At 36.9% G+C, this 15,484-nt stretch overlaps 1 protein-coding gene across 6 annotated transcripts in view; it reads right to left on the bottom strand.

The window, feature by feature from the left end:
- Positions 1-15,484, bottom strand: part of TMTC2 (transmembrane O-mannosyltransferase targeting cadherins 2) — a 447,961-nt gene that overhangs the window by 237,903 nt on the left and 194,574 nt on the right. For all 6 annotated transcript variants that reach the window (XM_017018884.3, NM_152588.3, NM_001320321.2 and 3 more), the window contains one exon: positions 318-1,146. In XM_017018884.3, coding sequence (XP_016874373.1) covers positions 318-1,146 — 829 coding nt within the window. The remainder of the gene's footprint in view (positions 1-317; positions 1,147-15,484) is intronic.

Raw genomic sequence — 15,484 nt, 5'->3', positions numbered from 1 at the left:
TAAAATGTGAAAACCAAGCTCTTTTCTAAATTCTTGGAATAGTCAATATTGTTTACACAACAGGAGCTCTAATTCTTCTGGACAAACATAGTCAGAAACACAGAAAAATATTTTCTTATTCCAAGTAAGGAATATTGGATATGTCTCTAAATTGGTTATATGGCATATCTCTTTAAAAAAATAAAAAGAATGAAAGATACAGGTACTGCATAAAAGGACCTCTTCCTCCTTAATACTGTGTTTTAAGACAAGAAGCAAAGATATAAAGAGGCTGAAAGTGTAAACTATCCAGACAAAAGCATAAAATAAAAGATTACCTTTAGCTGGGTTTACTTTTATCCCTGATCTATAAAGCATTTCCTCATTCTGCCAGTCTCCATTCCTGATCGCAGTCTTGAGTCCATAAAAAACAATTAGTGTAGCTGTAGCATAAAAAATCAAGCTCTTGAGGAACCGCTTTTGGACTTTGACATAAAGGGCTCTAGCACCCACTGTAATCAGTAGGCAGAAGCCCATACTAGGAATATATAATACTCGCTCTGCAATTACAAAGCCGACATAGAAAAACAGGTTCGTGGCAGGAACAAAGGGTATGATTAACAAAGATAAAGACAGAACAACAATGTTCTCCGTAGAAGGAAGCTGGGTTCTCTGTGATACATCGTTTTTAATGCCATTTTCTACTTTGGATGCAAAGCTGGACTTAGTCTCTGAGTTCTGGTACTCCACATCTGAAAGGCAGCTATGTCCATTTGCATTCTGCTTGCCATTTGTTACAGTTTTCCCATTGCATTCTCTGTCTACGCTCGGGCTCTTCAAACCATAGTAGGCAAGGAGAAGGAGTCCAGTATAGAAGGCCACAGTGTGTAGGTTTCTCCAGTCACAAACTGTTTTGAGCAGAGGCACAGCATCCATTGACCAATCAAAACTGAGGGTATCTGGACATAGCAACAGCCAGAGGTTCTTGGTTGGCAAGTAGAAGAAGGTGAGAGTGCGGGTGAGGAGGCTGTCCGAATCAGCAGCGGGGTTGTCCGAGTTGGAAAAGCTTGGTGGTTTGTTTCCCATCCAGTATAACCGGGCACCCAAAAGGGAGGAACCCCAGAAAATTAACAAACTAATGCTTAGGAAAAGCGACAAGTTCTTCCTCTGAAACCAAAAGAGAGAAGGGAAAAATTAAGATTATTATCAGTACAGCATGGGAACACTTAACACTTAGAGATAAAATACATTTTTAAATGGACCGTTAAAAACACAGCATGATGTCTCCAAAACATGACTTCATGTCCATCACCTTTCAAGCACGCCTAGAGAAATTTTAATCTCCAAAAAAACCTGAATCTGAAATCGTAGTTTGTATATATTTTTTGATTATCTTTTCTTATTTTTTTCTCTCTAAAATACCAATAATCATAGCTTCAATTTTGTGACCTCTACAAAGTAGGTTCAATATATTTATTTCCCTTTCAGAATTCATGTTGGGTCACAAGGGGACCACAATGTACAGTACTTAGCACTCTGCATAAGATAAAGGCACCTAATAACTGTTGTCTTTCATTTTATCGTAGTTTAGATTTTGAAGAAAAACAAAAAGTAGTCATGTCAAAAAATATGTGGTATGGCAGGACTCTTGTGCTTGTCTCTAATGGAGTAAAGGCACGCAGCTATGTCTAAGCCAGTCCCCATTTCATTGTCTTAAAGAGTTCCGTCCTTGCAGAATTTATAAACCAGGCTTTTATCTGCTGCCCCATATTGTCACTGATATCAGTGGCATCCAACACTCAAAAACACTCCTCATGAATCCCAAATTTTTCATGTTGATGACAGCTTTTAAAAATAAAATTACTTTAGGCCGGGCACAGTGGCTCACCCCTGTAATCCCAGAACTTTGGGAGGCTGAGGTGGGTGGATCATTTGAGACCAGGAGTTTGAAACCAGTCTGGCAAACGTGGTGAAACCCCATCTCCCCATCTCTACTAAAAAAAAAAAAAAAAAAAAAAATTGCCAGGCATGGTGGTGTGCACCTGTAGTCCCAGCTACTCAGGAGGCTGAGGCAGGACCATAGCTTGAACCTAGGAGAAACATGTTGCAGTGAGCTGAGATTGCACCACTGCACTCCAGCCTGGGCAACAGAGTGAGACTCCGACTCAAATAAAAAATAAAATAAAATGACTTCTTTAATAATGAACTAACTTATTTCAAGAGAATGACAAAAAATTGTGAGGAGGGTCAAAGGACATCATGTTAAGGCTAATTTTCTGGCAAAGTCCTTCTCCCCCAGCAAGAAACTTAGGTGACATCTAAAAATCTAAGTCGTAAAGAGGCAGACCAGGAAGGGTTAAAATGGGCACCATATCCCAACCTTAATGGTTCAATGGTAAAGCCATTCTTTACAGCAAACATCCTGGCGTTGTATAGAATTGTCTTACTCAATGACATTCAGAAGGGGGTTTAGAATCTTACAAAGGATACACCAAATATTTAATTTTAAAAACAACCCACAAAGAGCAATATACCTTAAGCATATACAACTTCTATGAAAACAATGTCTATGTATTGTATACAACTGCCACACTGGACTCTGCTCCTCAGACTTCTCCTCCACACCAACTCTGATTGCTGGAAGCCACAGAACTAATTATGAATGCTCTTTTCCACTCTACCTTCAACCTAATGATCCTCAACAAGGTTCATGATTTTAAACGTCCTTAATGTACACTAATGACTGTACCTTCACCCTCCCTCACCTCCATAGGCAATTATTCAGTTGCCTACTGGGCATATTCACTTAGATACCTCAAATTCTAAATACCCAAAATAGAACTCCTGACTTCATACTTCCCCAACGGAAATAAAACAGTTCCTCCTCCAATCATCGTCACCATCAGGAAATAGTAACAGTACGTAACCAGTTTCTTCTTCATAGCCTCTTTCCTTCCCTCCACATTCCACTCATTATCAAGTCTTCACAACTTTCACGTCCAAATATATCCTGAATCTGTCCTTTTTCTCTCCATCTCCTCTGTCATCACTAGTCCCAAGTGCCAACACTGGGATTCCTACAATAATCTCCTCCTAACTGGTGACCCTGTCCTTCTTAACACAACTTATTTTATTCCCTAATTTTAAACTCAGATCTTACTTTTAAGATCTTAGAAGTTTTTCTATCTCTAACAAAACAAAAAGTTTGTAATTCATTTAGGGTTCCCTTCTCACTTTATGGTGATATGTCCATTTTTACATTTCAAAAGTATGAAAGTTTTTTTTTTAATCTAAAAGGGGGTAATTCTGAGTATAAAATAAGAGAAGCAAAAGAATAGGTGGTTAGAAGTTAAACATGTAAAATAAGGAAAATGAGAAACAGCAACCAGATGGAAATTAGACAATTTTAAGCGGTGGAATTATTCATTAATATCAGATACAATAGTGCCAAATTCACAGCATTAACTTGTTTTAAAAACATCCTTGTCAAATGTTGGATTAAGATTAATTCACATAATGCTGTATGGAATTTTTAATAGTAGAAGGAGAAATATCACATTCTGCCTCACCAATCTAACTTTTTTCTTTTCTTTTCTTTTCTTTTTTTTTTTTTTTGAGATAGAGTCTTGCTCTGTCGCCAGGCTGAAGTGCAGTGGCATGATCTCAGCTCACTGTAACCTCTACCTCCCAGGTTCAAGCAATCCTCCTGCCTCAGCTTTGCAAGTAGCTGGGACTACAGGCACGTGCCACCATGCCCAGCTAATTTTTCGTATTTTTAGTAGAGACGGGGTTGCACCATGTTGGCCAGGATGGTCTTGATCTCTTGACCTCGTGATCCACCTGCCTCAGCCTCCCAAAGTGCTGGGATTACAGGCGTGAGCCACCGTGACTGGCCCACCAATCTAACTTTTAAACTGCCGAAATACTTCAAAGCCTCATTATCATCTAAGAATAACTTTTGCAAACCATTCCATTGTTCCTCTGAAATTCTACCCAGCAATAATAATTCTAAAATTTCTTGATTTTAGAAAGAAAAATACCACAAAACCATGCTTAAGAGCTTGTAATAACATGATCGGATCAATCACATAATTGAGTACTCTTAGATTATACAAGTGAGAAACACCATTTGGCAAAGATAAAGGAGACAAGATATCATGGATAAAGAAGACTGATCTTGAAAGACAACTGAATTCTGAATTTGTACCAAAAGCCCATTTTTAAAATGTGCCTAAGAACATTCTATTACAATATCTTGTGGTGGAAGTGATCGGGGATGTAGAGAGGAAGAGAGAAAGCATTACAAAAACAGCTGTAATCAGGCAAGAAGAGAAGCCAAGGGACAGGAGAGCCACACGAAGGAGGAAACATGGTCAGATTTCTTTGCTAGTCATTAAACTCCAGAAGTAGTTAGCCTTAACAATGATGTAATTCTATTTTATTTCTAAAGACAGAAATGTCATAACAAGGCAAAACTACTTTATTCTTTAATTTTTCATAGACGTATCTCTAATAATTTGTTATATCTTAATAATTATCGAAATAAAATTGAGATTCCAGATGTGGTCATATTATTGCATTTATTATGCTAAAAAGAAAATTTAAATACAATGGGCTATAAAGATATGAATAATGAAAACTATTGAATGTTAAATATTATATGTCTAAGTACTGAGAAAATGAAAATGACATAAAAACAAGAAAACATAAGTAATAAAATGCTAACAAACATTAATTTATGTATTATTTCACATTTAAAGTATCTTCATATATAATCCCTCATTTGAACAACTAACAGTCACTAAGATCAAAAGATACTACGGTTCTGAAGTGAAATGCTTTCACATACTTATTCTAACTTAATGGTGAGTTCTGTAAGGACGAAATAAATGACTCACTCTTTCTATTTATTTATTTTTAAGACAGGGTCTTGCTCTCTCACCCAGGCTGGAGTGCAGTGGTACAATCATGGCTTACTGCAGCCTCAACCTCTTGGGTTCAAGCAATCCTCCTACCTCAGCCTCTGGAATAGCTGAGACCACAGGTGTGTGCGTGTGTATTTTTTTGAAGATGGTGTTTTGCCATGTTACCCAGGCTGGTGAGTGACACTCTTAAAGGGAAACTAAACCAACAGGTAAAGCCGATTTTAAAATGTTTAAAGTAGAAGAGTTTCTAAAGTGTTGTGATTTGCTATGGCTTTTAAAGTATCGGCCAAAACACACGTTCACCTATGTAACAAACCTGTATATCCTGCACATGTACCCAGGAACTTAAAATAAAAATAAAAATTAAAAAAAGTATAAGCCAAAGTATGAAACTGCAATTTTCAAGTGTCTCTGATGCTTTCTCATAAAATTTTATTAAAAATTATCAACTAGGCTGGGCGTGGTGGCTCACACCTGTAATCCCAGCAATTTCGGAGGCTGAGGCAGGCGGGTCACCTGAGGTCGGGAGCTCTGGACCAGCCTGACCAACATGGAGAAACCCCGTCTCTACTAAAAATACAAAATTAGCCAGGCGTGGTGGCGCATGCCTGTAATCCCAGCTACTCAGAAGGCTGAGGCAGCAGAATCGCTTGAACCCAGGAGGCGGAGGTTGCAGTGAGCCGAGGCCCCGTCATTGCACTCCAGCCTGGGCAACAAGAGCCAAACTTCTTCTCAAAAAAAATCAACTATATAAATGAGCTTCTGATAAAAAAACAAATCTCTCTTCAAATCCAATTTTTAATAAAACATCTCAACTGTTCTTGTGGAGATGGCCTTAAAACAAGATAAAAGAAAGCATGGAAATGGTTTTCATTTCTAATTTAGTCCCTATGCTATGGTTTATGGATTAAATCAAATTAGCAAATTTTTACTGAGCTACTACTAGGAGTAGGAGTCAGGTGACCCTACAATTTACCTTAGCATTTCTGTATCCGCAGTTTGGTGTAACAAACTGACCTAACACTTGTATTTCTCAGATGCAAGTATAGATAAGGCATGAATCTCCTTGCAAGCTAAAACTAGCAAAAATTCATATAAAGAAAATAAGACTTCAAAGTGTGGGATATTTAAACATTAGTTAAGTACAATCTTTGATAGGGAGCATTAGAAAAGGATTGCAATTTAGTAGCTAAAACAATTAGTTCATTCAACTTATCATTAAGGTTGCAGGCACTCTTCTATACGCTGGATATGAACTTCTCATAAAAAAAAGAGAGACTCTGTGTGTTCTTGGAGCTTCACACATTCTACTACTCTGTCCAGAAAACCACTTTGAGAGAAGAGTCATAATGGCTTAAAGGATAGTTTTCAAACTTAAAGGTCCATCATTATCAATTATGAGCTTTTAGAAAAACTAATGCCCCAGTCCAAGTAAAATCTCATAGGTGATTCTAATGCAGCCAAAGTTGAGGGTCACTGCATATTTGTACAACTCTAATTCTTAGTACTGATATTAAAAATGTTGTTGGACTCTTGTTTCACAAAGTTTTAAGGTATATTTGCCTCACTGTAAACAAGCAAACCATAACAAAACATAAATAATTATCCTTCTCAGGCTCTGGGACAAATTGAATTCTTAGTACAATAAGAGTATCACAAAGGCCAGACTACAAAGGAGGTTAGAACCCAAGGTTAAAATATTCAAGTATTGCTGCAACATGCAGAAGATAAGATTTGTTCCCAGAATATTAGGAGAAAAAATGTCTTAAATATGAGCCACCAAAGGCAAAAAACCCAACAGAAAAAAAAATGAATTAATAATATAGCCAGGAAATTCAGAGAAAAGACAAATAACCATAAAGATCTGAAAAGATACTCAATCTCATGAGTTAATACCAATTAAGATTAAAGTGAAACAAATGTAAGTTAAATAAAGTGCAAAACTAAAGAGATAGACTTCACAGATACTGTTCTAGAACAGGTAGACTCATACATTGTTGGGGAAATATAAATTGTACAGTTGTGAAAATGAAAGTACACAATAAAATTAATAGTTTGTATCATGTATGACTTGGAAATCTCTAGTTAGTTACCTACATTCTAACAAAACCTCTAAGATCTAAATACAAGGATACTTAGCATTGTTTATAAAAGAAAAAACAGAAATAGATATAAATTTCAATATGGTAATAAAAAAATCATGGTATAGCCATATGTCTGAATCCATATGGCAAATAAAAGAAATAAACTACATACAATACAAAGAGAGATAAATGTTTATATATATGCATAAATATCAACATAATATTATGTAGCAGTGAACCAAATCATTCTATAACAGCATGACTGGTGAAAAATCATGTTGCAAAATATGCATGCTACAGAATCATAAAGTTCATTCAGAAAAATACTACCTTATTTGTGAAAAATATTTTTGTGAAAAATATTTTTCACAAATGCTTACGTATGTACGAAAGGCCTTTTATTTTTTATTTAAGTGTAGAAGTATTTATACCAAACATGAGACGAGGAAACCTCTAGTGTAGGGAGATGAGTACATGAATAACAGAAAAGATGGCTTCAAATCTGTGTGTGGCTCCCCATCTGTGTGTGGCTCCCCTTTATTCGAAAAGCTTATTTGAAAAAACTAAAAGGTTTGACAACTTGACATACCTAGACTTACACTGACTAGATTTAAAAAATATGCAATTAATATATTAACAAATCTAAATTTTGGTTATAGGCAAGTAGATAACTGATGTGTCATTTCCTACACTTTTTTTTTTTTTTTTGGAGACTCTGTCTCCCAGGCTGGAGTGCAATGGTACGATCTCGGCTCACTGCAGCCTCTGCCTCCCACATTCAAGTGATTCTCCTGCCTCAGCCTCTCGAGTAGCTGGGATTACAGATGTGTGCCACCACGCCTGGCTAATTTTTGTATTTTTAGTAGAGACCGGGTTTCACCATGTTGGTCAGGCTCGTCTTGAACTCCTGAACTTATGATCTGCCCGCCTCAGCCTCCCAAAGTTCTGGGATTACACGTGTGAGCCACCGTGCATGGCCAGTTCCTACACTTTTCTATATTTGTTATTTATTGAAGCTATTATTTTATAATTAAGTGTCTCAAAATTAAAAATATTTTCCATGTTCTAATATACTTATCTTGCGATTGTTACCTTAATTTTATGAGAACATCTCTTAAGTTCAATGGAAAATAATATAAAAGCAAAATGCACAGCAGTGGGATATACAATATCAAAACACTCTCTTCTAGAGCTAAGCTATAACTGACACATCTCTCCCAAGAGGGTAACACAGAGTCTGACATTTGTAGGAATTCAAATAAATGATTCTTAAACTAAGTCTGACCCTCAAACTTTTAAAAGTCAGTTTCTATCTTTCTCTCACACATTTTATACCATTATGCTAACTCCTAGCTCCCAATATCCCACACAAAGGCTCATAAGTCAACAGAATTAGCTGTGCACAGTAGCCTGTAGTCCCAACTACTCAGGAGGCTGAGGTAGGAAGATGCCCTGAGCCCAAGAGTTCAAGATCAGCCTTGACAACATAGCGAGACCTCATCTCTTAAAAAAACAAAGTCAAAAGTCTTCCACACAACTCCAAGTCACCATTTTCAAGCAGTTTGTTGTCACCACATACAGAAACTTGACCTTTTCACCTTTATGTCATCAAATGTTTTCTGCCTGTTTCCCTCTCTCCATGAAAAGCACACATTAAAGTAGTAGCATATGTTCTGGAGGAACATTTTCCTAACTACAACTTTGTTGTAAAAGTAGAAATATAAATGGGAAAATTACTGCATCTGTACAAACAAAAAATTTACAGATACATTTCACACCAGTATGGACAGGGTTTCTTCATGTTTTAATTCACCTAATTGTTCACAAAACATTATAGGTCTGCCTTATGAAAGTGTAATTTTTTAATTTTATTTTATTATTTTATTTTATTTTTTTGAGATAGAGTTTCGCTCTTGTTACCCAGGCTGGAATGCAATGGCGCGATTTCGGCTCACTGCAACCTCCGCCTCCTGGGATCAAGCAATTCTCCTAGTTCAGCCTCCTGAGTAGGTGGAATTACAGGCATGTGCCACCACGCCAGGCTAATTTTGTATTTTTAGTAGAGACGGAGTTTCTCCATGTTGGTCAGGCTGGTCTCGAACTCCCAACCTCAGGTGATCTGCCCGCCTCAGCCTCCCAAAGTGCTGGGACTACAGGCATGAGCCACCACATCTGGCCGAAAGTCTAATTTTTAAGATGTTCAAATATGTTCATTTTTAAAGTTATTTAACATAAAAAAGGAAATCAGCTCTAATCCCCACTTTTCTGATAAACAAAAATAGATATTTCTAATTATAAAATTTTAGAGAGTTTTTCCTGAAACTGCCATACATAGAAAATCATAGAATTAAAGTCAGCCAATATAAGGTTCCTGGTTGACAACTTAGTTTTTTGACACACTAATGGAATGAAAGTATATAACTATAGCTTAATGAATGAATAATGTGAAATTTATCAGAAAACATCAAAATCTTCCCCACATATCACCTGAAATATGAGGGAGAAGCCAATGAGAAGACTCTGCCATATTAGTTAGTGGTGATACCTCTACAGAAGCCCTGTGGTGAATTATTCCCTTCTATGGGGGTCTTTGACTAAATACATAAAAATAAGAGTGAAGTAAAATTCAACTATAACAGCTCCCCTCTCTATTATGAAAGAAAACTGTCATTAATAATAGCAGCTTCAATATTGTCTTCTGATCTCAGATTTTCTGGGACATAAATGAAACTGAAAAGGAATATTTTAGTCTCAATGAACGAAAAATGTAAACATCCTGCTGTTGAATATTAAAACCATCATGAGACCTACATTTTGGCAAACTAACGAGAATAAATTACTTAAGCATAAGGCTCATTTAATTCCAAATTAAGCCCTTGGCAATGATAGTAGTTGTAATAATAAAGTAGATAAAAATCAGTTTCTGAAAGTTATAAGACAGAGAAAAGGCTATCCAGACATAACAAAAATCTAGCACCTTCTATTTTATATTCACCATCCATCACTTTTCTTATGTCAGTAAAATAGGATTTCTCTTAGCTCTCCTCCTTCCCAAAATAGTTACCACTGGATACTCCCCTCAAAGGCATAATTTCTGAACATGTGACAAGAAGGAATGCATGGCTGAAAGTATGGTTAGGAATTGTTTCTAGAACATATCCATGTGATTAATCAAAGTTTCATCATAATCAAGTTGTCATAGTTGTTCTGTTTCCCTTTAAAAGAAAAATGGGTTTCCTTATTAATGATCATCCTGTCTGTAAGATTAGAAACATTTGTTTTCTCCCCCACACCAACTAACAGACAAGATTAAAGAGTTTTATAATGTTTGGTATCGCAAAAAATATTAAAAGAGGTTCAATGAGTGGGCATATCCAGACTTTGTGAGGAAAAAATTTAAAGATTAAGGGGCATAAAAAAGTATCTTAAGATATTCAGTATTTCGGATTATAATGAGTTCTTTTGTTCACTTAAACCCATAGTACACCATCATGTTTCCCACTGAGTTCAAGCATCCATCAGAAAGCATTAGTACATCTCCAGCTAAACACATAACAGCTTAAGATGATCATCTAGTCTCTCATTTAATCATACTTGAAAGATATTTTCCTGAATTTTACTTAAATTTTTTTGTATTTATTCCTTCAATGGTTGTTACCATTTTCCAATAAAGTGTATCAGGGCTCCTTGGATAAATGGATTGATTTTAGGACTGGAACAGAAAATATACAAAATGAGCTTAAAGCAACTTGTAGTGCCAGAAAGGGAGAAAGTGCTCAAAACACACGTGAAAGTACACTGATACAGATATGTCCAAGTGTGAAAGAGACACAGGAACCCACTTAAAGAGCTCCCAATGGCCAAAGCTGGAAGAATTTGAGCATCAAAAAAAGTAAAGTGGCAGTGGATTATAACCCAAAGTATAAAATAAATATTCATGAGTCCATATTGATAAGTGATACAAAAAATAAATAAATGAGAGAAGAAACAAATCTTCTTTGCAGAAGAATTCCAAATAACTTATATATATTCTCCAACCTCAAAAAAGGGGAGCATAATTCCCATTCCTTAGATGTGGTCTGTGCATAGTGACTTCCTTCCAAAAGGCACAGTATGAACTGGTTGGGTGGGAAGATGTGGGGAGAAAGTAACTTTACGGTGGAGAAACCTGAAAAACACTATCACTGGCAGGTGATGAAGGTCAACTTTATAGTGGTAAGTTGTGTTGACAGTATGTACCCTTGTTATGATGTGATGAAAATGTTATTTTACATGTATGTTCTTCCTCTCAAAACCTATATACCCAGCCAGGAGCAATGGCTCACACCTGTAATCTCAGCACTTTAAGAGGCAAAGGTGGGGGGAATCACTCAAGGCCAAAAGTTCAGGACCCACTTGGGCAACATAATAAAATCCTATCTCTATAGAAAAAAAAAAAATTAGCCAGACATGGTGGCATACACCTGTATTCCCAGCTACTCAGGAGGCTGAGGTAGGAGGATTGCTTGAGCCCAGGAAATCAAGACTACAGTGAGCTCTGATTAGCCACTGCACTCAAGCATGGGTGACAGAGTGTCTCTGTCTCAAAAACAAACAAAAACTTAAGAAAATTAGAAAAAAAAACTAAAAAAAGAAAACAGATAACAAAATTAAAAAAAACTTATTCCCAGATTAATCATTTAAACAAAAATCCGACAAATTCCAATGGAAAGACATACTGCTAAATATATAATTGGGAATCCTCAAAACTGTCAGTCATCAAAAACAAAGTCTGGCTGGGTGTGGTAGCTCACACCTGCAATCCCAGCACTTTGGGATGCCAAGGTGGGAGGATTACTTGAGTTCAGGAGTTCGAGACCACCCTGGGCAACAAAGTAAGAGCCCATCTCTACAAAAAAAAAAAAAAGTACAAAAATCAGCCAGGTGTGGTGGCTTGTGCTTGTAGTCCCAGCTACAAGAGAGGCTGAGGAAGGAGGATTGCGTGAGTCTGGGAGGTTGAGGCTGCTGTGAGCTGTGATTGTGCAACTACACTCCTGTGTGGGTAACAGAGCTAGACCCTGTCTCAATCAGAAAATAAACAAAAAAAGTCTGAAAAACTCACATGCAAGAGTCTAAGGAGACATGACAAATAAATGTGCCATCCCAGCTGACACCATGGAACTGAAAAATGACATTAGGTAAAAACTAAAAAATCTGAATAAACTATTGATATAATAATGTATCAGCTCTGGGTCATTAATTGCAACAAATGCACAACACTAATGCAGGATGCTAATAATAGGGGAAACTGGGTGTATGGGAACTTTGCCTTATTTTCTTAATTTTTATATAAACCTAAAACTGTTCTAAAAAATAAATTTTTAAATGGTTGTTACTACAGTAGAATAAAAGCTCTTAGAAACCAAATGAAATTAAATGTAGATGAGCTTTGATAGATCAATAGCTGAAAACTGCTAGCAAAGAAAAATTAACAACTGAAAAATAAGACCAACATTAAGTGCCTTGCTACCTTCTAAATTAATCAAAAAAGTCTGAATACACAACGAAGTAAAATTCAGGATAACTCAACATAGTCACTTACATGTATTGTACGAGAGGACACATTGATTTCAAATCCTATTTGGTTTTTGTCTGACACTCTATAGCGTTTGTAGTATATTAGAAACCCCTAAATGGGAAGCAAGTATCAAGAAAGGATGCCTCTAAACCCATTGCTATGGTGTTTTGGTTGGCATGGTGACCCATTCTTCCTCATTAAACTAACGTGGGGAAATCAAGCAGTGAGCAATTTCTTGCGTACCCATGGCAAGCCCCTTCTAGAGCTAACTATTAGAAACTGAAGTACCCAAAGAGTTCAATTAGTGGAACTGCAAGGGGTGTGCCATAGCCCCTAACCCATTACACTAAAAACAAGCCCCTGAATGCCAGCCTTCAGAGTAATCTTGTTTAGCTTAGAATGAGAGGTTTAACCCTTCCCACCAGGCAGTGCGCTATGGTCAAATCAGGGTAGCCACAAAACAATCCAGCCTTTATGAAGAAAATATGTGAAGAAAATATCCTTTGTGACCTGAGAAACAACAACAAAAAAAGTTTTAAACGAAAGTAAAGAAGATACTTCTCTTGACTATGAAAACACTTTGTTTTTTATTAAACTCCTTTCCCTGTTCTTTAAGAAGAAGACAACTAATGGGAGGAGAAGTAAAATTAAGTGAGCTCAAAATTAACAGAATTTAGAAAAGGAACTTTCTTTTATCAATCTTGCCCCAATTGGCCAACTACATTGCAAATGCATTTCCTGCACCAATGGATTAAACTGCAACATTCTTTAAACTCTGTGTGGCTTTAGTGCGACAAACCAGCTATTATGAGATGCGTTCCAGTCTCATTAATGAGTTAAGCATGTGAGCCCAGCATTTTGGAAACATAAAGAGACAAATTATAATGAGACTTCACTCAGTGGGGAGGCTAAGATACAGCCGCCTTCTCTCAAAGATACCATAATAGACAGCTATTTAATGAGTGTGGGAGTTTTTCTATGAAAACACAAAAGACACCAGCAAGAAAAAGAAGATTTTATATTATATATACAAATAGAACTTAATAAACATACATGCCTTATAGATGTTCATTAATAAGCATATAATTTCAATGCTTAATGTTGTTATATGGAAATATACTCCAACTCTATAATTACGCTATGTCTTCTACAGAATTTAAATAGTAAATTCAATGTCAAATGGACAAATTATTATTTACTGTTTCTCACAGGTAAAAATGCGGCCATTTATCTGGGCATAACTCACATACACTGTCTTTTTTCTCAGAATGCCACACTGATTCAGAAAATGCTCATTTGCTTGACTGGGCAACTGAGGCCGACTATAAGGTTTTGGTTTTTTTTTTTTTTTTTTTTTTTTTTTGAGACCAAGTTTCATTCTGTTGCCCAGTCTGGAGTGCACTGACGCGATCTTGGCTCATTGCAACCTCCGCCTCCCAGGTTCAAGCAATTCTCCTGCTTCAGCCTCCTAAGTAGCTGGGATCATAGGCACACGCCACCACGCCCAGCTAATTTTTGTACTTCTAGTAGAGACAGGGTTTCACGATGTTGATCAGGCTGGTCTCGAACTCCTGACCTTGTGATCTGCCTGCCTCGGCCTCCCAAAGTGCTGGGATTACTTTGGGATTGCCACTGCACGCACCCTAGACTATAGTTTTTAAACTAAAGTTTTCACATAGGAAAGCATCCATCAGTTTCATAATTCTTATTTCAACATCCAGTGATTTTAAACTATTCAGCAATTTCCAGACAGCATTGTGGCACTTACTTGGGCTTCGTAACTATTAGTAATTCAGAGCAAAACCAAGCAGAATTGGAATCCTTAAAAGGCCGCTGAGTTGAACATTCTGGGTTTACTAAGCAAGCAAGAGGGTCATCCTCTTCCCCTCACCCCCACATGAAAGAAAACAGAATAAGCGAAAGGCCATTATAAATTTTCAGATACATCAGAGTAACAGATCGAGTTATGGTTAGTAGAATTATAGAAAAAACAACTCTAATCCCAAATCTTTCTTGGTACGTACTATTTAGTTTGCTCCCTTTGATATAGAAAGATATGTGAGAAGGGGTAAAGTACTGATATCAACAGTACCCGAAGGCTAGTTATTTAAAAACATCTTGGCCGGGCGCGGTGGCTCACGCCTGTAATCCCAGCACTTTGGGAGGCCGAGGCGGGCGGATCACGAGGTCAGGAGATCGAGACCATCCCGGCTAAAACGGTGAAACCCCGTCTCTACTAAAAATACAAAAAATTAGCTGGGCGTAGTGGCGGGCGCCTGTAGTCCCAGCTACTTGGGAGGCTGAGGCAGGAGAATGGCGTGAACCCGGGAGGCGGAGCTTGCAGTGAGCCGAGATCCCGCCACTGCACTCCAGCCTGGGCGACAGAGAGAGACTCCGTCTCAAAAAAAAAAAAAAAAAAAAAAATCTTAACAACAAAAATTGAGTCTGGGGATGGGTAACGTGGGAAAAGGTGAAAAATATAATCTGAGTTTTCACAAAGTGTCATTTTTCAGACCTATGTATCTTATTACTCTGATGGTTAATATCTTCTTGAAAAGTAAAATAGTAAGCTTAGAAACAATACTTGTTATAAATAAATGGAATAACTTTGCTGAAAGCACAAATTAATATTGGTACAATCAAATAAGCATTTCTTAAATGCACACTTTATTAGTTGGAATTAATCATCAAAAGTGTGACTTTCAAATTATACTAACTTTACAGTAATAAGCTAGTGGAGTATTTCATGTTATGTTGACATAGAAATTATTAACGTGGCTGTGAAGTGGCAATCCATCAGATGTTTGGGAACAAAGGAAAATATTAAGAAGTTTTTCAATTCATTCAGGTTCTATTCTGATAACTCTCCAAAAACGTCTTCTTGCCAAAAGCAACTTGAAAATATGCAATTTTTGGAGCCTGTAGGTGGTGACCAATCT

This window comes from Homo sapiens, chromosome 12 (assembly GCF_000001405.40).
Source record: "Homo sapiens chromosome 12, GRCh38.p14 Primary Assembly".
Taxonomy (NCBI): domain Eukaryota; kingdom Metazoa; phylum Chordata; class Mammalia; order Primates; family Hominidae; genus Homo; species Homo sapiens.
The sequence above is the reverse complement of the archived record's forward strand: the minus strand, read 5'-3'. Positions and strand labels throughout refer to the sequence as shown.